Source organism: Homo sapiens, chromosome 15 (assembly GCF_000001405.40).
Source record: "Homo sapiens chromosome 15, GRCh38.p14 Primary Assembly".
Lineage (NCBI taxonomy): Eukaryota > Metazoa > Chordata > Mammalia > Primates > Hominidae > Homo > Homo sapiens.
The window spans coordinates 70,263,671-70,288,421 of NC_000015.10; the positions used below are offsets into that span (position 1 = coordinate 70,263,671).

The following is a 24,751-nucleotide window of genomic DNA, read 5'->3' on the forward strand; positions in this document are numbered from 1 at the left end:
GTTGAACAAGATGCTGCCTCTCACTTGAGGAGGCTGGGTTTGAGGTCCTGGGCATTTCTCACAGACTTGAAGTCCATGCTGATGCACCCCGCTTCTCCCTGCCTTTTCTGGAAACGTCCTCCAGCCTCATCTCTCCTCCCAGCCCTCCAGGGAACCCCTGCCTGTGGGATACAGCTTTCAGCCTGCGTTGCTCTGGCCCAGAGATTTTTGGAGCTTTACCTCTTGGGCCCTTGCTTTCCTGCTGAGAGGAAAGGATGTACTTTTTTTTTTTTTTTTTGTCCTAGTACGTTGTCAAACTGGCTTTTAAAATCCCAAAGCTCCAAGGCTCTAAGCAGTGAAGCTGCGGTACAAGTGACCCCTCAATCCTCCTCTGCCATGCATGGGAGTGGCTTGCGGGGGAGCTCAGAGCTGGAGTGAGGAAGATTGACTGCAGGGCTGGGGGCAGCCAGCAGCCCCGCCTTCCAGCCTACTCCACTCCTGCTACCCGCTTCCAGCACTGGCCTCCACACAGACATCCAACTAAACACAATACTGTCCAAGGCCTCAAGTACAAGTTAATTAATTCACCAGAGGGAAGGCAGGCTATAAATAACTGATGGGAGCAGAGGGGGCAGCTGGGGCAGGTTTATTCACCAGCGGTTTCGCAGTCTCTGCTCTGGCAATACAGGTTAATGAGCACAGGCCTCCTTGCCGACATAATAGCGACTAAAAATAAAAAAAGAGGAACGAGTCACCCTCCCTGGTGAATCAGACGCCTCCAATTGTAGTTTCCATGCTGATACTGTAATTTTCCTGTTCCTCTTGCTCCTCCAGGGGCTGATGGAAACGGAACCCCCCCACCGCCCCCACCCGAAACCCCGCCGCAAAGGAGGCAGATCCCTTTCTGGTTTGTTTCCCTTCCTTTCAGGAAAGAGAGAGATGGTGGGTAGGCGGGAGGGAGGGCGACTGAAATCCAAGCCCAGACCCCAGGACATGTCAAAGTTGCAGACCCAACTCTGTCTCCTGTGACTAAATGCATGTCATTGCCCTGGTCTATTCCCTCCCTCTAGATTTGTCAGATGAAGAAACTGAGGCACAGGGAGGAAAAGCAACTTGCCAAGAGTCTCCCAGGAGTGTCCCAGGAGTGCAGGAGCCAGGCCCAGCACTCCCCAGCCAGTGCTGTCATCTCTGTTCTGTTCACTCCTCCTATCCTGGCCACGAACCTACACTCCTAGGTCCTCCCCAACGCCGGCTCCTGCCCCACCCTCACTCCACCCCACGCTCCACCCTGACCTCTCCAAGGGACCTATAGGTTGGAAATCCTCCAATTCCCAGCCCTCCTCTGGCCACTTGAGCTGCATATGCAGGTTGCCAGAAGGTTCTTGTTACAGGCCTTTGACCTGGAGGTCCCCTTGACCCACCTGGCTGAGGATAGGTGTGTGGAGCTTCCCAGGCACACGCTCCAACCTTTGGAGGAGTCAGCCAGCCTATACAACGCCTTCGTGTGAATTAGAAAAGGCTCCTCCTCTGGGCAGACACAGCCCATACCAGGGCTTGACCAGTGGGCCTAGGGTGGGTTTCAGGTCCCACTTGACCCAGCCCCCACCAGGTGCCTTTGAGCAGTGCACACACTGGACAACCTTCTCCAACAGGCCTGCCTGCCTCTGTCTTCCTGGAGGCCAGCCAAGCCCCCAAAAGTGTTCCAAGAGAGTAGAACTTTCATGAAAACTAAATGAGTCTCCCCACCTTTGTCCTCACCCCCGACCTCAGCCCCCTCTCCCCAGTGTATATTATGAAAGGAAGAAGACAGACAGGAACTGAATTGCCCATGGGGACCACAGCAGCCCTTTCCTGGAGGGAGCAGGGGGCTTGGGGACCCAGCACCTAGGGGGCTAAGAAGCGCACCACGGGAGGTGGATACAGAAACAGCTAAAGCCAGAGGGCAGCGCCAAGCCAGACTCCAGTTGGCTGACCCCGAGGCCCAGCCCTGCCCCCTGCACATGGGGATGCTTTTGTCCCACTAGGGCTCGTGCCTTAGTGACTGTCACCTGTTGGAGGAGAGAGGCCTCATTCTGGAGAATGGAGAAGGAAGATGGGCAGGAGGAGGGTTGCTCCACCTGCTGGGGGATGCAGTGACACCCTCTGGCAATTCTCTGGGTGCTCCATGACCAGCCACTGAGGACGATGACCATCTGGCCACCGGTTCAGCCACATCATCATTCTGTGACAATTTGCATGGCAGATGTCAAGCCCAGATGAAAGGCCAGTCTGTCTTCTATATTCCTCCTCTCTTCTCGCTCGCTGAAAACTCCCTGCAGAGGAAACTGGCTCTACCTTGGACCACGGGGCCCACGGACCTGTGGAGAAATTATTTTCTGTGGCTTTTCTCCACAGCTCCTTCCTCCAGCCTGCCCAAGCCTATGCGCAGTGAACCCAGGCACTCTCCTTACTCCCCACACCGTCAGCTTCCTGACTCCCTCACCGGCTCTCATCCCCCCACCACCCCCTGCTCCCCCACAAGGTTAACACTGCAGCTCTGGCGTCTTCCTCCCAGGCAGCAGCCTTCTCAGGGCTTCCTTGCTTCCCCTCTCCATCTCTGCCAGTGTCACCAGCACCGTGAGGCCAAGGGGCACCAGGTGAAGGCCCTTACATCTTCTTGTCCTCTCCAGGATGTGAGGCGGGGGCAGGAGAAGGAGAGGAGAGTGAGGGGTGAATTGAGAAAGGCAGAAGGCAACAGTGGTATAGCTGGAGGCCCACCATGACCTTCCACACAGGCCCAGCCGCCCAGACTCAGCACCCTCCACAGCACGACTCCAGAGGCCCTCGGGTCCTGCCACCCAACCTGTGGACTGACGGCTGCGCCCACGCCCGCCTTCCGCCCTCCTCCCTGTCTCCACCGCAGCAGTTTCCCTAACCCTCAGAGACCGCTCCTTCCATCAGCCCCTATCTGCTGCATCCCCAAGCTCCCTCCCTCTCTCGTGGCTCCTGGCCAACAGTGTTGCCACAAGTTCAGCCTCTTCTGGAAAGCATCCCTTTCTTGGCTTCCTGACCCCTTCCCGCTGTGGTCCCACCCCCGCTTTTCTTTCACAGCCAAACCTCTCACCTGGGGGCATCTACACAAGTGTTTCCCACTTCCTCACCTCCCACCTCCCTCAGTCTGGCTGCGGCCCCCTCCAGGCCGCTGAGGCTGGCCTCTGACAGCTGCCTCTGACCTCCTTGTTGCCAAATCTAGCGGACGCCCTTCCTCCCCCATCGCACGTGGGCTATGGACCCGGCCTGGCACTGCCGACACTTCCTCCTCCTTGACACACTTTCTGGCCTCAGCTGCTGGACACCCAGGCGTCACCGCTCTCCTCCCTGATTGTGGGCAGCTCAGCTTCCTCCTAGACGTGGGTGTTGCTTAGAGGGCTGTTCTGGACTCCCTCCTCTCTCACTCCACACCCTCCCTTTTGTTTTCACATCTTCACAGTGCCTTCTCTAAGATAATGACCCCCACATCATCAGCAGCAGCCTGGACATATTCCTTTGTGGTGGGACAAAGGCAGGCCCAGCCAGGGCCCTTCGGCTCACTCTTCCCAAATGGCTTCTGGGTCAGCCCGGAGCCCAACTGGGATGAAAGGCCCCTGAGGTCAAAAGTCATATTCTCTTCCCTTCTGTATCCTCAAAGGGCCCAGAAAAGTGCTAGGCAAAGCTTTAGGCCCCTGCTCTGTTGAAAAAAGAGGTTCAATCCAAATAAAAACCAATTGCAATGTCAGAGACTTACCAGAGGCTAGGGTAAGTGTCCCCTTGGACAAGCCATGGTCCCCCAGGCACCTCACTCTGATCCGCTTCTGCCACAGCTATAATTCTGAAGCAAACCCACATGCCACTCGCTGCATAAACCCCTCCATGGCTCCCCACTGCCTGTCCCCTCTGCCTGGGCTCTCCTGACAACCTGGCCCACTCTCCAGCCTCATCTCCCATGGCTCCTCTCCAGCCTCATCTCCCATGGCTCCTCTTTGAGCATCTTCTTTGTGCCCCAGAATGTGTGCTGTTTCCTAGACACACCCAATACTTTTTGGCCCTCTCTTTTATCTCCTGACAAACTTCTAACTATCCTTCAAGGCTTTCTCTAAAATGTCTCCTCCAGATAGCCTTCCTTGATTCCTCCAGCACACAGTGGTCTCTCTCTCCCCAGCACACTCTAAGAAGTCCATGCCCAACTAAGAGCAGGTGATGTTTGCCACCTTGAATGATAATGATCTGTCTCCCTGCTCTCCCCCATGGAGAGCTCTCTGAAAACAGGCCCATGTCTTCTTTGTGCCCCCATCACTCAGTACCTGTCTTGGTTTGTCTTGGGTGAGTGGATGACGAGAATGAATGAATGAAGGGCCAGAGAGCACAGTGGTTGGGAGAGCAGGCTCTGGAGTCTGACAGACATGTGTCCAAACAGAAGCTCTGCAACGAACTGTGTACATGACTTAGGGTGAGTCATTTGCCCAAAATGGGCGTCAGTATCCTCGTCAATGCTCTGGAAGTACTCGTAGTCACTCCTCCATAAAGCTACTGCAAGAACTCAGTAGAAGCATGCATGTAAGATGGCTTTGCACAGAGTGGGCACCCGGCAAGCATTCCACAAACACAGGCTCTTGGGGTTGTCATTAATCATTGTAGATATTCCCATTAAGAGGACGGGCAAGTGGAGGGTCCAAGGACATCTGGGGAGCTCGTCCATGGGAGATGCATGCCTCCTTATCTCAGCTCACTTCTTTCACTTCCCAAGCTCATCGGGCCATGTGCACCTGGGGTGACCTCAGCTCAGTTCATCAAAACCTGAACAAGTGCTCTCAGGGGCCAAGAGCACCACTCTCCTTGTCCTGAGACCCCAACCCTCTTTCCTTAGCATTTCTCTCTCTGCCCCAAGCCTGTATGAAGCAAAGATGGCTTTATAGTGCCTTGTAAGTCCTACAAAGGGAGCAGCAGGGGCTTCTCAGAGCTACCACCTCCTCGATCAATATCTCTTCTTCCACCCTCGAGGGCTCAATAGGACTCATTCAGCAAACTCTGGAGGGCCGACATCACCTGGACAGTGTCACTCGTGGGCCTGCTGTTTATTTTCCTCCCACTTTCTCTTGGTGCCTCCAGCTCTCACCGCTAACCTGCACCCCCATCCCCAGGTGGCAGCCAGTGTGACTGCTGGCCTCCCTGCAGCCGTGACCTCGGCAGGCATGAGGAGGAGGGCGGGCTGGGGCTCTGCCACCCTTCAGCTGGCTAATGTGGAGGTCTTAATGAATATGAATCGCCTCCTTCTCCACGGAGCTGGCCCCATCAGATTCCTTCACACCTCGCCGAGCCCAGAAAGGTTACTCAGAATTAAATGTAAATCACATATTTACTGGTATGAATCAGATCATAGTGTCACTTTCTCACAACAGAGAATTTAATCACACTGCAGCCCCGAGGGCTTCTGCTCTCCTGGGGCCGTCCCCACCCCGTCGCCCTTGTGGGCCGCACCTGGGAAAGAAGCTGACTGCCCTCCCATGTCGGGGTGTGCATGGGGGTGTTCCCAGAGGCTGTGAAAGGACAGTGGCCACAGCGGGAGACCTGACGCTGGTGTTCCCAGTCCTTTGGTACCCAAGTCACGGCTGCCTTCTAATATCATGTCAATCTGAAGCTGTCACGATGGGCTAGGCAGTGCTTCACATGCTGTGGACACTTAATAACTGTTGAGTACAGGAACGTCTCTCCTAAAAGGCTGCTGGCAGTCACCTCTCCTTCCTAGGCTCACTTGTGTTTCAGAAGCCAAGGGGGAAAGGAGAGAGATGCATGAAAGGTTTCACCCATGTTGCTCTGTGTTCAGAGGCGGCGGAGTGGAAGGAGAACTGGCTTTGGAGCCAGGAGGCCCAGCTCAGAGCCTGGCTTTGCCACTAGCTCTGCCAAAGGACGGCGGGCAATTCACGGTAACGGCAGCTTCTTTGTCTATAAAGCAGAGACACGATGCAGGTCCCACCAGCTCCACTGACAAGTTGCATGTGGAAGCATTTGCCTGCAGTAAAGTGCTTTGCAAATGTCAGGAGCAATGACCATGAGCCCAGTACAAAGGTCACTGGACAATAAATAAAGGGGGCCAGATCTCAGCCTCTGATTCTCCTGCCTAATGGCTACATGGTCCTTAGGGTGAAGGACCATGCAGCCATTTGAAAACAGGCTCATGTCTTCCCTGTGCCCCCATCTCCAGGGCGTGCACTGTCTGCTCAGTATCTGTCTTGATTTGTCTTGGATGAGTGGGGGATGAGAATGAATGAATGACAGGCTGGAGAGCAGAGTGGTTAGGAGAGACAGACATGGGCCCAAACTGAAGTTCTGCCACTAACTGCATGCATGACCTGGAGTGAGTCAGCTCTCCTGCGCTTCAGGTTCACATTAGCAAACAGAAGTAATGAGGTCTTTTTTTGATGGAGAAAGGCTCAAATGAATGCCACAGAGACAGATCTCTGTACAGACTATAAGGTGCGGCACGCAGCTAGGGAGTTGTGCATGGCTCACTTCCCTCAGCCATGGCAGGATGCCAAGGACCTCTGCTTTCCTCAGGATGTCACAGTCCCTTCCCTTCCCAAGCCCATTTCTTTGGGGGCCAGTCTCCAGGCTAATGGCTGTGCATTTGGAGAGCTCTTTACAGTTTGCAAAGCATTGTGCACGGCAGGAGCATGCGGTGGACTTAGGAGGACACACTGTGGTGTTGGAGCTCCTTGGTGGCTTCCAGCTCTTCAGGTAGAAGCTTGCTGGGGATGTTGGTGCCCACTGGTAATCCACAAACTGAACGTGCTTCTCCAGCAGACATTGTCTCGGAGTGCCCTCCCCAGAGCTGAATGGCCTGGTTGGGCTTTCTTGACTGGAGAATTTCCTAACTGGGTAACTATTTTCCGGAAAACTGAGCCCACATTGTCTGCACAGGAAGCCAGTCTACATTGTGTGTGTCTCGTGTATGTGTGTGTGTGTATGTGTGTATGTGTGTGTGTGTGTTTAACCCAAAAAACAGATGTAATTTCTTCATGTATCAGGAAGCCTCCCTTTTCGCAAATGTTAAGGAACACAGCTCCCTTGGGCATAAAGTCAAGGAGGTTTCTTTTTATAGCAGTCTCAGTCGCAGCTCTGGCTTTGCTTATGAACTCGAGTTAGGGAAATTAGAATTAAAATTCCACCCCGACGAGAACACGGATTTGTCCTCCTGGGTCCTCCTACCCTCAGTGCCTCCACCGACACATATGAAGGCTCACAGAATGCCTTCTCCACCTACATGGCAGCGCCTACGTCAGTGACTCCTATCAAGGGTGGGCCCTACTGCAAAAGAGGTATGACAATGGGCACATGGCCATGGACTCCCCTAATCTTCTTGTGTACCCATTACAGAGAAGCAGTGGCCCATGACAATGGTGAAATGGCCTGTGAAAGGCTGAGCTCAGGTGCTAGCTTGGGGACCACCCCCTGTGGGACTGGAGGACTGTCTTTAGCATGTTGTCTATGCACCTAACCAACAGGCAATAAATGGTGCTGTCTTCCTACTGCTGGAATCCATGGGTCTGGGAAGCCAGGGCTGAACGTCCATTCCCTGTTGCCATCACTCCTAGTGACCCTCTAGCAGGATTTACACTTGCCACAAACCTTAGGCTCTGTGAGGTTAGGGGTCATGGTCCACAGACAGCCAATGTTTCTGTTGTGGGGCTAGTATTTCCTGCAGGTGACACTGTAAAGGTCCCACTGGATTTGAAGCTGTGACAGCTACCTGTCACTTTAGTTTTCTAGTGGACTAGCAGTGATGAAAGGAGTTACCATCCTGGCAGGATAATTCACCAGATTATTGTGAGGGCCAAGTCCTGTTGCTTTTCACAGCAGGGATTCTCTGCGAGTCTCTTGGTGTTCTTTTGCCTGATGAAAGGGACTTGTGAGTCAGCAATTGCAGCAACAACAGCTCAATAAGAACAGGACAAGCCAAGGGCTCAGACCTCTTCGGGATGAAGGTCTGAGTCATCCTGCTCAGTAAGCAGCACAGAGCAGACAAATTGCCGGTTGAGGGTGAGGGACATGGAGACTGGGGAATGGAGGGGAGATCTGATGAGTACCCATAAGGGCCTCAGGACAGGTGCAGGCACTGTGTCTTGTTTTATTAACCTCTTGCCTTAGGTCATCTCAGAGATCCCAAGGAAACTCTGTAGTCATTGGACTTGTACCCACTTCTTAGAGAAAGCAGGGACATTCAGTTCACACCAAACACAGAGGCCCCAGATTGTATGGGAGCTGGATGTGATGGAAGGGTAGATGCCTCTGTGGGTGGTACAGGGTGACACAGAGACACTTCTTACACCATCCTCAAAGCCTCTCAACCACCCATATCTCTGGGGTCTTAGACCTTTGCCCCTCACATTCCCCTGCAATGACCAACTTCATGTGACTCTGAACAACTGAATGTAGGTACAACCTCAAAGCAGTGCATCTCCTGTCTGTGCACACATCACTTCTGCTGTGGAGCTTTCCTCTTGCTGGTGACACTTGAAATGCAGCAAGACCCACTCAGCAGGCACACATGTGCAACCAGGAGACCTGGGGGAGTGAACACACCAGGGGCAATCCTTTGAGCCATAAGATACTGGAGCCCACGGGTAAATTCCTCTTCTCACCTCTTTCTGGATAGACTGTCTTAAGAAGTAGTTGCTACGTAGGGTCCTTTTTTTTCTTTTTTCTTTTTTTTATAGACAGAGTCTCGCTCTGTCACCTGGGCTGGAGTGCAATGGCATGATCTTGGCTCACTGCAACCTCTGCCTCCTGGGTTCAAGTGATTCTCATGCCTCAACCTCCTCAGTAGCTGGGATTACAGGCTCCGGCCACTATGCCTGGCTAATTTTTGTATTTTTAGTACAGACGGAGCTTTGCCATGTTGGCCAGGCTGGTCTTGAACTCCTGACCTCAAGTGATCTGCTCTTCTCAGCCTCCCAAAGTGCTGGGATTACAGGCATGTGCCACCGCACCTGGCCTACATAGCCTTTTGAGAGACCTTCTCATGACATCAAGCACTCAGTTGCTCTTGATGCCACTGGGTGGCTGAATTCTCCCGCATCCTTGCGTTGGCTTTTCCTGTCTCCAGTTTTGCCTATCGTTTCCCTCACTCCTGCGGCCCTCGCATCACACTGCTTAAAAGAGCAGTAGCACACAGGCCTTTACCTCAGGCCTTGCTTTGTAGAAAACTTTGGCTAAGACAAGATATTCAAGCCCCTTTAATCTTTGCCCCAAAGCAAGACAGTCAGTACCGTGATCCTCTCTCATTTTTGTCTTAGGAAAGTAAAGCGGAAAAAAGTTCAGTCCTTGATCCAGAACCAGATAACCAAGGCACAAAGACAGAGCTTGCGTCTGGCTCTGATTCCAAGCCTGGGGCTTGTTCCGGGGTGGGAGACTGCTGCCTCTGAGCAAGGTGGCATGTGAGAGGGTGCTGCAAAGGATGAGGGGAGGGGCTTAGGGGCTTACCCAGGAAGAGGGGAAGGGGGCAAAGGTTGGCTGGGGCAATGACACAGGGCCTGGTGAGTGTCATTGTGGCCAGAACAGGTTTCCTGGACAAGTAGTGGTAAGGTCAAGTCCCCAAGGTGGATTTTGAGTGCCTCTGAACAAAAGCATGGTGATGTTCAGAGGAAGTGAGTGATCCAAGCTTAAGGCTAAGAGGATGTCTCTAGAGCAGCCTCCTTTATTTCTTATCTCTTGGAGTCACAGAAGTCCCAGAGTGTGACACAGAGGAGACCTAGGCCCCATGCCTGCCAGAGTTTCCCATTCTACGCTCCTGGGAACTCTTGTGCTTCAAAGGACTTGATAAAATTGCCATGAAAAAAAAAGCCTCCTCTTAGAGGGTCTGCAGGTACTCTGTTATAGGAAAGGCCCAAAGCACACATGTTGGACAATAAATAAATAATGGTAACAAAACCCTGATTAACTTGAATCCAGCAAACTCATTAGACTCTGTACACTTTCAAAAAATTGCAACCTCCAATCCACCTCCTGGGTTCAAGCGATTCTCCTGCCTCAGCCTCCCAGCTAGCTGAGATTACAGCCGTGCGCCTCCATGCCCAGCTAATTTTTGTATTTTTAGTAGAGAGGGGGTTTTGCCATGTTGGCCAGGCTGGTCTCGAACTCCTGACCTCAAGTGATCTGCCCTCATCTGCCTCCCAAAGTGCTGAGATTACAGGCAGGAGCCACCCCACCTGGCCAAAAGCATTCTTTTCTGAATAACAAGTATTTCCATCTTTTTGCATACTGTATTCTACAGAGGAGTTATAGAATCATGTTTGGAAAAACACAGAGCTAACCCAGTCCCCTCATTTGACTGTGGAGAAAAACCACAGACCAGAGAGGTGATTCAACTTATCCAGAGACACACAGCAGGAGCTCACACACATCCTGATTCCCCAACCGGGGCTCTTTCTTCGACCTGGGAGAAATTTCCACTGCGTGATTGTTGCCAAGCTATTAATGAAAATGAGACCTAAATTAGCTTCAGAAAATGAGGTTTTAGCATTGGAAAGTTTTTGACTATTGAAATTGTGAATGCAAATGAGTCTATGTGCTAGAAATCTGTTAGCAAGTAAGAAAGAAGCTCCACAAATTCCAGCCTTTGGAACCCGTGGGGCCTTTTGGAGCCTCAGTTTACCCTTTTGTGAGGTGAGGTGGGAGGGAATAGGCCAGCCAATTACTAAGTAAGGTTCATCTCAGATGTAATGAGATTCTGCAATTTCAAAGACAAGTGTTGAATAGCAGAGAGGTCTGGGGACCAGGGGTGGGGGAACCCCCTTAAGGAGGGGGAGACCAGCTGGCCCAGCCTCTGGCCTCTGGCAGACTTCTCAGCTGCCCACTGAGGAAGGCTCTTTCCCCAGATGCAAAGTGTGCATCTCACATTAGCTTGCAAGGCAGCTCTGATTAGTAATTAAATGGTTTTTTAAAAAAAATAAAGCCATTAAAGCTAATGCCATCAAAATCAGAACCTCAGACGCTGGCTCATAATGATGAGTGTGCCTCACGACTCACAGGAGAGGACATTTACATTTTAACATGCACATTGCACAGGCATTAATATTTCCCCCACCCACCCCTCCTCCCATCATTATGGAACCTGCTGATGAATCCATTTGTTTTCCAGCTTTACTCTGATCCTAGAAAAAGCAGGTCATCCTGCAAGAAGTCAATGTGGAGGGATGAAAAGAGGCTCTGCATGAAGTCGGCTTTAGCCCTGCCATGCCTAGATGTATAACTTCGAACAAGTGACCTAATCACCTTGGCAAACCTCATTTTGCTCATCTTTTAAATGGGGATAAGAATGCCCATCTTGTGGTGCTGTGCCAAGGATTGAATGGATCAATGCATTCGTAAATGCAACTCATAGTCAATTCTTGTTAATGACTAGCCATTATTAGACCTGGTACTTGGCATACCGTAGGCACTTATCCAATATGTCCTTAATTGAGCACCTACAGTGTGGGCAGTCCTATTGCAGGACACTGCTGGGGACCAGGGAGAGGAATGTGAGGGCTTCGAGAAGATACATTCTTCCTGGAAGACCAGATGAATGAACATAGAATCACTGGGCTCATCTCAGCCAGGGGCTCAGAGGCTGGCCTGCAGTGACAGGTAGTCACAGTTACAATGCTGTGGACTGGGGAAGAAAGGTTTGCAGCCCTGGAGGGATGGGTGACATTCATAGCACCTGGTACAAACCTGGCTTCATCCTGGGTGCTTTACACACTATCACTTTTAATCCTCACAACCATCGCTATTTAACAGACAAAAAGCACTGAGTCTAGGAGAAGTCAATCAGCTTGTTCAGTACCACAGAGCTGGGAGGTGGAGGAGCCCTTGGTCAGTTGGGATCTGTGAGGTCAGCAGCCCATTGTCTTTTCATGGTATCAGGCTTCCTGCTAGATAGGAGGAGCGACAAGTATCTGTACTGCCCCTTGGCTGTCAGGGTTGCAGAGGCAGAAAGGGCAGGTTTCAGAGGCTCCTGACGACAGGCTGCGATGCAGACTTGGCCCAGGAGGTCTGAGAGGGAACAGTTGGCCTCCATGGCTCACCAGACCTCACAGTCTTGCCTCTGAGACATAGTGACTCCCTTCATCCAGCGATTCGTCCTCCACTGGAGGCAAACCTCCTTGTCAGTCCCCCTGGCAAGTTTCTGTTGGCTGTGGAACCTGGAGTCTCCAGGCCCTCCCTCGACTTTTGCGGGCAGCCACTTGGAGAAGGGAGCCAGCCTGGTGAATCTGGAACATAGTCCATTGCTGTGTGACTTTGGGTCAGTCACTTCCCCTCTCTGGGCCACCACTTCCTATTCTGTAAAATGAGAAGGTGGGATGAGACAAGCTCCAGGCCTAACTCTCTTATTCAACATGAGCCTTTGCATCTTCTGGATTTTTTTTTTTTTTTTTTTTTTTTTTTTGTAAACCAAGTACCTGCGCTTGGTGCATTTGCTCAATGAGACTTTCAACTCTCATTATTTCCCCCTAAGACTTAACTGTCCAAGGGCTAAGAAACAAAAGTTTGGGTGCCTTTTAAGAAATATATAAAATATCAGGGCCAGACAGGCCATTTTCAGACAGTCCCTGGGGCCTAGTCAGCTATTAAAGATAGAAATTATATATTCATAACACAGGATATTGCTGCTTGCTTATTTATAACTTGCTCCATTTCAAGAATATTTATTCTAGACGAGGAGGCTTGATAATTTTTTCATCTAATCTACTCCTCATAGCTCAGGGCAAAAGAAGAAAACAGCTCAATCGAAGGAGCAGCTTTCTATTACAAGCAGGTAAGGAAGGAACACACAGCTCCCTTTTCACAGGCCAGGAACCCAGCCAGGTTGCGGCTCTCAGCCCTGCTGCCCCTCAATCTGCACCAGCCCCTGGGGTGCCCCAGCCAGGACCTCACCATCCCTGGGCACAGTCCTCTCAGACAAGGCAAAACTCCACATGAGAATGGGTAAAACACATAGGCTCCAGGCCCCTCCTTTGACCCAGGAAGAGGCTGAGGCCCAGAAAAACCATATGTGCTCGCTCAAGGTCACAGGGACCAGGATACACATACACAGAGCTGGGGTGTGAACCCACTCACCCTGGTCTCAGGCTTGGAAGTCTTGAGGAGGGAAAGGGAGCTACTGAACCTACTATGAGACAGTCTCTAGACTAGGTGACACATTAAGCAAGTCAACAAGATTTTATTGAGCACCTACTGTGCTAGACAGTGTGCTGGGGATTAAGGAAGAGGGGATGGGTGCTTCAAGGAAGGTTCCCTCGGAGAAGGCGAGAGCAAAGCACACTGCGTCACCAATTTGGACACCCTTCTCCCCAGTAGGTTCATCAGGATTATTCCCACTGGACTGAGGACAATGAGGAATTGAGCCAAGGTAACAACACTGGTGAGGAAAGGATGGAGCCTGGATTTGAACCCACGCTGGTCAGATTCAGGAGCCACGCTCTTTCTGTAACCCCTGAACCCTCTCCTAGTAGAACCCCATACAACTAAGGCTCCCTCTCCCCCAGTTCCCGAGGACACTCAGGCTGTGAGCACTGCCATCCCCTGCAGGCACCTGGAGCAGGGGTCCTAATGCAGAGAGAAAAACCCAATTCGCAGAGCCACTTTGTGATTGTTGGAAAAAGGCTATGGGCCGAGAGGTCGCTAAGTTCAACCTAAATGTAATTTCTAACTCCCATATACCACACACTTGCAGCAGGCACACATGCACAAACACATGCCAGGTCTGCCTGTCATGCTCCACTATCTGAACATCCTCAGTTACACATCCCCTTGTCCATCAGTGAGGCTGTAAAATCTATTCAGGATAAGAATCGCCAAAACTGAAAAAGTATGTGTTTTGTGTCATTTATTCATTCTGCAAATATTTATTGAGCACCTATTACATGGCAGGCCCCAGGCAGACATGTGGGTTACGGGGTTGAATGGGGAGCAAAACTGACCCAGTTGCTGCCCTCCTGGAGAATGTGGTTTGGTAGAGGATCCGGATTCACGCCTGGAGCTCTGGGATCTGTGAGAGGTGGCGACTGGTGAACTGGGCCTTTGAAGGGTCAGGAGAGCTCTAAGCAGTGAGCAGGAGTTTAGCTCAGCCAAGTGGGGAGCCGAGCAGAGAGAGCTGCACCCGCAGAGGCCCTACAGCCAGGGAGAGGGCTCAAGGGGAGGCCCCAGGCCAGACCAGACCTACAGGTCCTCCTACGCCACATTAGGGATTAACGTCTTTGTCATCAAGGCAATGAGAAGTGATTGAATGAAGAAAGGAACAAAATTAGATTGGTTTTTAAAGTATGGCTGAGGGTTGAGGAGGAGGGTGCCAGGGTTCCCTACCATGGATGATGTTTATCCTAAAGCAGCCTATGACATGTGTGAGACTCAGGGATCCCCTCATTTCTATGTAGCCTGGCTACAAAGCCTCCCGGAGCTGGTTAAAGAAGGGCCGAGGACCACCTGCCTCGGAACCAGGAATCTTGGAGCTGATTTTAAATGTGCATTTCCAGGTCCAGGACACACCTTCAGAATCAGAAGCTCTGGGGACGTCCCCAGATCTGTATTTTAGGAGCTCAGCAGGAAACTTGGAAGTAGATTGAAAGTTGTAGACCTTTAATTTGGTCTCTATGAGATTTAGTCTGTCGAGAGAGCCTGAGATTCTCTGGCCTCTAGGGAGGAGGTTCTCAACCTACACTGTTCATTAGAACTTCGGATGGCAGAGCTTCATACTCAGAGATTCTGATTTACTTGGTCTCGCAGGGGTCTGGGCACCATTATTTCTCCCCAGGTGATTTTGTGATGCCAGCAAGGCAGGAGAGTAAGGGAGGAAGAGAGAGAGATGTGGGGAGCTCTGAGTCTTAAATCAGGGCATGACGGGGCCAGGATGGGGATGGGGGAGTGGGGAGGCTGCAAGAGCACTGCTTCAGCTGCTTTAGCCTCACCTTTTCCACACACCCCTCCTTCTGTCCCTGCTTCCACAGCACCTGCTCCATGCCAGGCCCTGTGCTGGGCACTGGGACACTGATACAGTTATTGCTGGAGTGTCCAGTCCTCAGAGGAGCTTGGTGTGTGTGTGACGGTTCCTAGACCACTTCCCAGCTCACCACGGTCAGGAAATGTGCATGTTGAGAATGACCAAGCCAGAGGAGTCTCTCACCACCTCATTTTCCTGCCTGAGGCCCGGGGATGAGAAGGGACTCGCCCATGGTCACATGGGTGTAAGGGCGAGAGACAGCTGAGCACATGATGCAGGTGAAGGTTCCCAGCCTTTCCCAGGTGCCTGGGCAGCGGGAAGGACTGAACGCTGCATGAGGGTTTAGGGGCAGGGAGGGGGAGGAGTCAGGGGGTGAACTTGCAGCAGAGAAGGGGGAGGATGGAACCCGTCACAGCCCCAACACCATAGCTGAGCATCCAGTGCCCTCCAGAAATGGGAGTCCACTTAGTGCTCAGCGCCTGTGTTAGCCCATTTCGCATTGCTGTAAAGGAACACTGGAGAGTGGGTAATTTATGAAGAAAAGAGGTTTGATTGGCTCATGGTTCTGCAGGCTGGACAAGAAGCACGGCACCAGCATCTGCTCAACTTCTGGGGAGGCCTCAGGGAGCTTTTACTCAGGGCACAAGGTGGAGGGCGGACAGGGGTGTCACATGGTAAAAGAGGGAGCAAGAGGGATGCCAAGCTCCTTTAAACAACCAGCTCTCACGTGAACTCATAGAGTGAGATCTCGCTCATTACCATGAGGATGCACCAAGCCATTCATTTGGGATCCACACCTATAACCCAAACACCTCCTACTGGGCCCCACCTCCAACACTGGAGGCCACATTTCAACATGAGATTTGGAGGGGACACACATCCAAACCATATCACGCTCATTGTACAAATGTGGGAAGTGAGGCCCAGGAGCAGTGGGACATGTCCAGGGCCACATCCACACTCAGACATGCACAGATGCACATGCAACATATGCACATACACACAGGCACACAGCCACATACACATGCACACACATACAGATACACACAGTCACACTCACATACACACAGGCACACAGACACATATACATGCACACACATACAGATACACAGTCACACTCACATACACACAGGCACACAGCCACATACACATGCACACACATACAGATACACACAGTCACACTCACATACACACAGGCACACAGCCACATATACATGCACACACATACAGATACACACACAGTCACACTCACATACACACAGGCACACAGACACATATACATGCACACACATACAGATACACAGTCACACTCACATACACACAGGCACACAGACACATATACATGCACACACATACAGATACACACGCAGTCACACTCACATACACACAGGCACACAGCCACATATACATGCACACACATACAGATACACACGCAGTCACACTCACATACACACAGGCACACAGCCACATATACATGCACACACATACAGATACACACGCAGTCACACTCACATACACACAGGCACACAGCCACATATACATGCACACACATACAGATACACACGCAGTCACACTCACATACACACAGGCACACAGACACATATACATGCACACGCTCACACAGATACACAGTTACACTCACATACACACAGACACACTCATACACACACAAATGGACACACAAATGCACACATATACACACATCATACACACATTTACACACAAGCACGCAGACACATACAACATGCACCTATTCACATATAGATACATACAGACATACATATACACAGCCACAGGCACAAATGCACACATATACACACAGACATGCATACATGTGAACACACACAAATACACACATACACCATACACACACTCACACAGCTTAGACACCTATGATCTCCAGAGTTCTTTCCACACACAGCTTTGTGTCTCAGCCTGAGTGTAGGTTATTGATTCTTTGGTATTGAAAAATTTATTTCTGCATTTTTAAACCACAGTTCTGGCTGAGGATACCCTAAACCTTAACATCAAATGAATCATCGTGATGTGAGGTTTCGGAGGGTGATCGTCTTTTCTATTTCTCTTAATCAAGAAATCATTTGTAATTGCCTTTAATAGAGATAAATGAAAACCCACCTTTACCTTATTATAAAATTGGTATTTTCAATCTTTAAATATAAAGTTTCTCAGCCCAGGAGTCTATAGATTCTGTAAAAACAGGAAGCTCCTCTTCCAGGAATTTGAAATTGCTTCAACCTCCTCATCGACTGAGATGGCCAGGCTCCTCTGTGTGCCTGGCTAAGGTTCTAGAGCCCAAGCAGGCCCGCCTCCTGCCCACTAGGGGATCTGCTGACATGCACCCCCAACAGGGCAACAGGGACTAAAGATAGCCCCTTCGCCCACAGGGATACTCTCACATATACTGACAGACATTCATCTGCGTGAACACACATTTATCCACACCAGCTTACACAGAGAAACGTACACACACACACACCCATGCAGATACATGTGTGCCAAGACACACACACGTATGCTTCCATCACACACTGTGGGCCTCCTATACACACACTCCAAGGCTCCTTATTGCCTACAAATATAGAAAGGTGTGTGTGTGTGAGAGAGGGAGAGAGAATAAGAGAGACTTTATTTTATAGGAAGATGGGGAACAATAATTTGGGGCTCTATATTTTAAACTCTAAGTCCTAAGATTTAAAACAATCTATTCTTAATTCTCACCTTCTTCCCCTCCCACCCTGACCGCCACGCTTCATTTTCTAGAAAATCAACAGGTGAGATGCTGAGGATCTGGGGTGACATCAGCAGGTGATACAGGGCAGAATCAGGGCCTTCCTCCATCACCTACTGTTCAGAGAGGAGCAGCCAAGGGTCTTCAAGCCAAAGGGGCTGCCTGAACAAACAGACATGTAGAACTCAAAGCAGGTGGAAGGTTAAAAGGTGTTGCTGCTTTCTGCAAAGCCCACTGTTAACATCTCCTCCAAGGCCAAGAGCAATTCTGTAGCAGGAAGGTGCAGAGGCCTCCCAAGACAGTCTCCTGGAAAGTAACCACTCACGTGGCATCTCATGGGAGGAAAAGTTAACAGAAAAGGAATCTCACAGGAGGTGAAGGGCACAGGCTTTGCTTCTTCAGACCCCAGGGACAGGGTGCCCCTTTTGCTATGAGTCGAGCAGCAGAAACATCTTTGCTGCAGCCCTGACAAGCTGCTCTGTTTATGAGTCACTAGGGAGTCACTCTGGCTCTCCTTCACATCTAGAAGAAACCGTATTCATCTCTGATGACCTTCTACTGAACACGGCAGCAGCAGAACCCCAGAGAATGTCAGAATGTCTGACCCAACTTCAGCCTCTCTCCTGGCACAGCTGGCAGCCAATAGTGTCAGGGACTGGCCCTGGACCAGAGGCCTAAGCATTGGCTTCTAAGCCACTTGCAACCTCAGCTGCCACTTAACTTTCCTGGGTCTCAGCCTCACTTCTGTTACCATGGGGAGGCTTATTACACAGGCACACATGAGTCTCTAGGGTTCCAGAGCAAACCTATCACCCATGACAATGAAGCTTGTAGAAGTTGTTCTTATCTGAGGCTCACTGATCACAACAAAAGCAGAAGATCACTTCCTCAAAGATGTGACAAATGGACTCGCAACTTGATATATGCCCGGAACATTAGAGTTTACAAAGCTCTTTAAGAAAAGTATTTTTCTTTATGCTCCCAACACCCCTGTGAAGATTACATAAGACATTTTTATTCCACCTCTGAAGATGAGAAAATCGAGGCCCCAGAGAGAAAAAGTGTGTTTTTCTGAAGGTCACACATACAATAGATGTACAGAGGCGAGACTCCAACCCAGCACAGGCTCAGAACATTCCAAAGGGCTTCAGAATTCAGGGTATGTCCTCACAAATCCTTTTGGGGTGGTGCAAGAAGCATGACCCTCAGCCAGAATGCAATTACCTGCCTTTATCCAAGGGGGCCTGCAATGTCCACTCAGCACACTGAGAAGGCAGTGACCATGGCCATCATTGCTCTATTCCTGGCACCTGGCATATGGTGCCTGCCACAGAACAAATGATCAGATTATATTTGTAGAATAAATGGGAGAATGGACCCTGGCTGATTGGATGGATGGATGGATGGATGGATAGATAGATGGATAGATGGATAAATGGATGAATGGATGAATGGGTGGATAGATGGATAAATGGATGGATATATGGATGCATGGATGGATTGATAAATGGATGAATGGGTAAATGGATGGGTGGATGGATGGATGAATAAATGGATGGATGGATGGATGGATGGATGAATCAATGGATGGATGAATGGATGAATGGGTGGATGGATGGATAAATGGATGGATATATGGATGGATGGATGGATGCATGGATGGATTGATAAATGGATGAATGGGTAAATGGATGGATGGATGGATGGATGGATGGATGGATGGATGGATGAATCAATGGATGGATGAATAGATGAATGGGTGGATGGATGGATAAATGGATGGATATATGGATGGATGGATGGATGCATGGATGGATTGATAAATGGATGAATGGGTAAATGGATGGATGGATGGATGGATGGATGGATGGATGGATGGATGGATAGATGGATGAATAAATGGATGGATGAATGGATGAATGGGTGGATGGATGGAGGCATGCCTGCATAAATTGACAAAGAATGGTTACAGACTTTGGAGCTGTACAATCTTAAACTTTAATCTTGCCTCCGTGTTCCTAAATTTGTGCCTCTGAACAAACCACTTAACCCCTGTGAGTCTCAGTTCTCTCATCTGTAAATGGGTAGCGGTATCTACCTCATACATGTGATAAAGATGATGTTAGCAACCCATGCAAAGCCCAGAGCACAGTACCTAGATGAAGCTATGCTTCCATCATTGGACTTATTTCTATCTGCTCCTGCAGGACCTGGGTTTGTCCACCATGGCACCATCTGCTTCCACTCCTGCCCATTTCTGCCCACTCCTGGTCTCTCCAGCCTGTTGGGATCCCTGGCCATGCCTGGCAGATGGTCAGTCATTACTGTGGCCCTGCCTGACCTAGGTAGCTCATGGGGGCCAAGCCCTGGCTGTGTTTCCCTGCTCTGCACCCAGCACAGTCACCTCCGTTGTCAGATACCCAGGGCCAGAACAAGTACAGCTACTGGATTCAACCTTCTAGAATTCAGACAATGGGGATATATGTGCTCTAGGATATATGTGTCTAGCCACCTTCCCTGTGGCTGACATCAGGTATTAGGAGAGAAAGAGAGGAAGATCCTTCCCTGTCTCCTCTTTTTCTCACTTCCAACTCTCCAGGAAAGGTGCCAGGAAATGAAAAGGACCCATCTTATCAGTCAGGATGCTTTCTCCTGCATGAAACGGGGAACCCCTACCCAACTGGCTTGAGTAATAAGAAAGCTTGGCCGGGCACGGTGGCTCACGCCTGTAGTCCCAGCACTTTGGGAGGCCAAGGCAGGTGGACCACTTGAGGTCAGGAGTTCGAGCCTAGCCTGACCAACATGGTGAAACCCCATCTCTACTAAAAATACAAAAAAATAAAATTAGCCAGGCATGGTGGTGGGCGCCTGTATTCCCAGCTACTTGGGAGGCTTAGGCAGGAGAATCACTTGAACCTGTGAGGCGGAGGTTGCAGTGGGCTCAGATTGCACCACTGCACTCCAGCCTGGATGACAAAGTTAGACTCTCTCTCAAAAAATAATAATAATAAAATAAAAATAAAGTAATAAGAAAACTGTGAGAGAACAAAAGGCCCAGAGGTAGGACTGAGCCAGCGAGATCCACACTTGGGTCACGAGATGGCTGCTGAAACATCATCCAGGCTCCACGCATCACATGTAGATGTGAAACAGACAAGCACAGGGGTAGGCCACTCATCCGTGAGAAAAACCTTCCCCAGAGGAAACTTCCTCTTTCATTCACAAACTCAAGGTCTCGTAACCCCATGCCAGGATGGCTGGACTCCAGGAGTCTCCCTGCTTTGAAGTGTCTGCGGCCCCAGCTTGACCTGGGCTGCAGGCCTTAGGTAAGGACCTTGGAGCCCTACTCTCCTCCATAAAGGTAATGCAGTCACTTCAATATTCGCTCAATATGTCCTTTGATGGGGACGGACCTGCTGGGCTGGCCTGGAATATTAGCTGGGTTAATTGTCCCTTCAAATGAACAACCAGTTTAATCAAGGACTTAATGCCCTCAGCTATTCAATTATGCCTGCCTCTGGACATGCAGATTCCATTACCACCCAAGCACCTTGCATGGAGGGAGAATGAGATTGTCTGGTGCGTGTGTGTGTGCATGTGTGTGTGTGTGTTGTCATTGCCCACAGGCATTTGTTAAGAGCAAACTGTGGGCCTAGAGCCCAAGCTGGCAGGCAGCACCTGACCTTGGCTGTTGGCTGCATGACCTCATCAGGTAGCTCTGCTTGGTTCTGCTCAAGAGGGTTTTGCCACCACATCTCACTTGCAAATAGTGTGTGTGTGTGTGTGTGTGTGTGTATGCAGCCATTCCAGGACTGACATGTAGCTCTATTCATGAACATGCACATTACACATTACTGAGTTTAAAAAGAAGGTTGCAGACTGCATGCTTACAGCATGATCTGTGGATGGGAAACTATGCTTATCCAGATCTATATGAATATTGATGGACAAGGACTTATCTGAAAGAGTAGTCCTCCCCATTTTCCCACTGTTTACATCTGGGTGGTGAGATGTTAGGTTATTTTGTTTTATTTTTATTTTCTTTATATTCTGGCTATTCTACAAGAACATATACAGTCAAATGAAGACACTACAGCAATTTTTGCTTGGGGACATTTTCTCATGCCTTTCCAAAGCCCCTTCCTGTAAGTAAAGATCACACCTATCTCTCCTCCTGAGAGGTCTCAAGTGTTGCATTGGGACTCAGGAAATAGCTGTGGCCCTTATTCTGTCATCACCTGTTTTGGACACTCTGGGACTTAACTGGCTCCTTCAGAAAATGATTCTGTTATTTATTTCAACAACTTGAAAGGACTTTCATTGGCTTGTGATTATAGGCAAATACATGATCACTGGTAAAAATTTGAAAAATGCAGAAAAGCATATAGAAGTAAACACCACCCACAATCACATCAACCAAAGAGATCCACTGATACCATTTTGTTGTATTTCCTTCTAGTCTTTTTTCTGGGCAAAATGGGGGATTAGGACCTGGAGGCAGGCTTAAGTGTGGGTGCTGACTCTTCAGAGGCAGCCAGTGTTCTGGACCCAGTGCTGCCACTTACCAGCTGGGTGGCCTTGGCTGGGGACCCCACCCGCTCAGCCCGGTTCCTTATTTGTAATGTGGGAATGATCATCACAATGCCTTTCTCATACGGTATTAATGGAAATGAGGACTAGAAAGCTTCAGCACTATTCCTGGCACAAAGCAGAACATTATTGTTAGACTATAAACACTATTTTAGAACCCTTTCTCTCTTTCTGTACACCAGCCTCATATCACTTCTCCCATTGCAAGCAGTTGCCATGCGGATGACAGAAGATGAGGCAGTCGGTGACTCCTGGCTCTGGCTTCACACCAGAATTATCTGGGAGGCTTAGAAAACACTGGTGCTTGGGCCCCACCCCAGCCTAATTAAATAAGAATTGTGGGGGTGGGGCCCTGGCATTGGTTTTTCTGGAAAGCTCCCCAGAGGATCCTAATGTGAGCCCTGGCTGAGCACCACTGGTGCATGTCAAAGTGCTTTAGAAAGGCCAGAGAGCTACATAAACAAAGGAGTTATTATTATTCATTAAGGATACTTCTCTGGGGGTGGAAATGAGTTCATTGACTCCTCCTCACTCTCACCTGATCCTTCTAGTGGGACACGTTGGCAGAATCACAATCTCCTGCTCAGAGTGGGGCTTTAGGGCTCATAAGGCATTCTTACCACTTCTGGAGCTGAGGGCTGCATGGTTTTCTGAAGTGTCGACGCTGTCCCAGGCACTGTGCTAAGCTGAGCACTTCACATGCAGAACAAGGGAAAAGGCACTTCTTCACATTGCACCAGCCTCTACAGAGGGCACTTGGTAACATTCATCAAAAATGTAATATGTACACACCAATGCTACTCCCAGATATAACTAATGGAAATGAGCTTTAATTAGTGCTCCCCCAAAGAATGTATATGGCAGCATTATTTACAATAGCCTAAAACTGGGAGCAACCCAAATGTCCATCAAGGGTTGAATGAATAAATAAGTTGTAATATAGTCATACAATGAAACACCAGCCAGCAATGGGCGGGGGGGGGGGAAGCTACTGCTAAACACGACATGGGACATGGGGTGAATTTCACTAATGACATCTTTTTTTTTTGTTTTGGATACAGGGTGTCACTCTGTCTGTCACCCAGGCTGGTGGAGGGCAATGGCGCAATCTCAGCTCACTGCAACCTCCACCTCCCGGGTTCAGGAGATTCTCTTGCCTCAGCCTCCCGAGTAGCTGGGATTATAGCTGTCCACCACTATACCCCACTAATTTTTGTATTTTTTGGTACAGATGGGGTTTCACCATGTTGCCCAGGCTGGGCTCGAACTCCTGACCTCAAGTGATCTGCCTGCCTCGGCCTCCCAAAGTGCTGAGATTACAGACATGAGCCACCGTGCCCAGCCCACAGATGTCATCTTGAACAAGAGAAACCAGATACAAAGAGTACATCAATTCTTTATGATTCCATTTATACAAAATTCAGAAACAGGCAAAACCAATCCTGGTGGTAGAGGTCAGACTAATAAATTGCCTTGGTACAAATAAATTGTCCTGGATATCCACCAAGACAAGCCATGAGATGGGGCTGGAAACATTCTATGGTAACCTACACCTTCATGTGGGTGGTGATTGCACAGGTATATACACAGCCTGTGTATCACATGTATCAAATTTATTTGGCTGTACACTCTTCTTTTTGCAAGTTAAATTTCAAATCAAATTTTTTAAAATGCAAATAAAATTGCATATATCCTTGACCCTCATGGCTCCATGTCTAGAATTTCTTTTTCTGTGGGTGTATTTGCACAATGAGGATACTACATAGGTACAAGATTATTTATTGTAACACTTATTGTAAGAGCAAAAAATTAGCAAGAAACAAAAATGTCCATCAATAGGGGCAGGTTAGATAAAGTACGGCTCTTTACCATGCAGCATGACACCGCCATGCAAAAATAGAAACAATCACCAGCATATGTTCTTAAAGTGAAATAAAAAGCAATGTGCAGAGATGCATAAAGAATGGGCTATCCTTGGGGTTAAAAAATATAAAGAGAGAGAGAGAGAAAGAGCTTAGTATATGTAAGAGTAAAATGAAAAAGCTCTGGAAGGACTTATAAGAAACTAGAGATTAGTTGACCATGAAGAGGGGACCTGGGTGGCAGGATAGGGTTGAAGGAAACTTTTCACTGTATATTTTTTATGCATTTTGAATCTTGAACCTATTAAAATTTCTTTTAAAAAAAATCTAAAACAGCCAGCCCCACATTCACCTTCTTCAAGGCCTATTGCTGTGATACAATTCCAACGTTCACCTTGGCTAATACAATCCCAAACCTAGCCCCATTGCCCCCGCCCTGCCATCCCTTCAATACTCTACTTCCTGATGCCTTGAACATGTGACATGACTCTCATACCTTCCCTAGGCCTTTATATCTGCCGTTCTCACCTTGGGATATGCCCCATTTCTGCCAGGTGTCACCTCCTCCAGAAAGTCTTC

At 49.5% G+C, this 24,751-nt stretch overlaps 4 annotated features.

Annotated features, from left to right (window-relative positions):
* Positions 2,978–3,631: an enhancer, noted in NCBI's record as "H3K4me1 hESC enhancer chr15:70558987-70559640 (GRCh37/hg19 assembly coordinates)". NCBI's record gives its function as "activates a minimal SCP1, AML or CMV promoter by ChIP-STARR-seq in primed H9 embryonic stem cells {active_cell/tissue: H9 hESC(primed)}" and the evidence as "EXISTENCE:reporter gene assay evidence [ECO:0000049][PMID:30033119]".
* Positions 5,310–5,359: an enhancer, noted in NCBI's record as "active region_9682". NCBI's record gives its function as "activates an Ori minimal core promoter by ATAC-STARR-seq in GM12878 lymphoblastoid cells {active_cell/tissue: GM12878}" and the evidence as "EXISTENCE:reporter gene assay evidence [ECO:0000049][PMID:35858748]".
* Positions 5,347–6,025: an enhancer, noted in NCBI's record as "H3K4me1 hESC enhancer chr15:70561356-70562034 (GRCh37/hg19 assembly coordinates)". NCBI's record gives its function as "activates a minimal SCP1, AML or CMV promoter by ChIP-STARR-seq in naive H9 embryonic stem cells {active_cell/tissue: H9 hESC(naive)}" and the evidence as "EXISTENCE:reporter gene assay evidence [ECO:0000049][PMID:30033119]".
* Positions 7,760–8,054: an enhancer, noted in NCBI's record as "tiled region #9099; K562 Activating DNase unmatched - State 9:DNaseU". NCBI's record gives its function as "activates a minimal TATA promoter and a strong SV40 promoter by Sharpr-MPRA in K562 cells {active_cell/tissue: K562}" and the evidence as "EXISTENCE:reporter gene assay evidence [ECO:0000049][PMID:27701403]".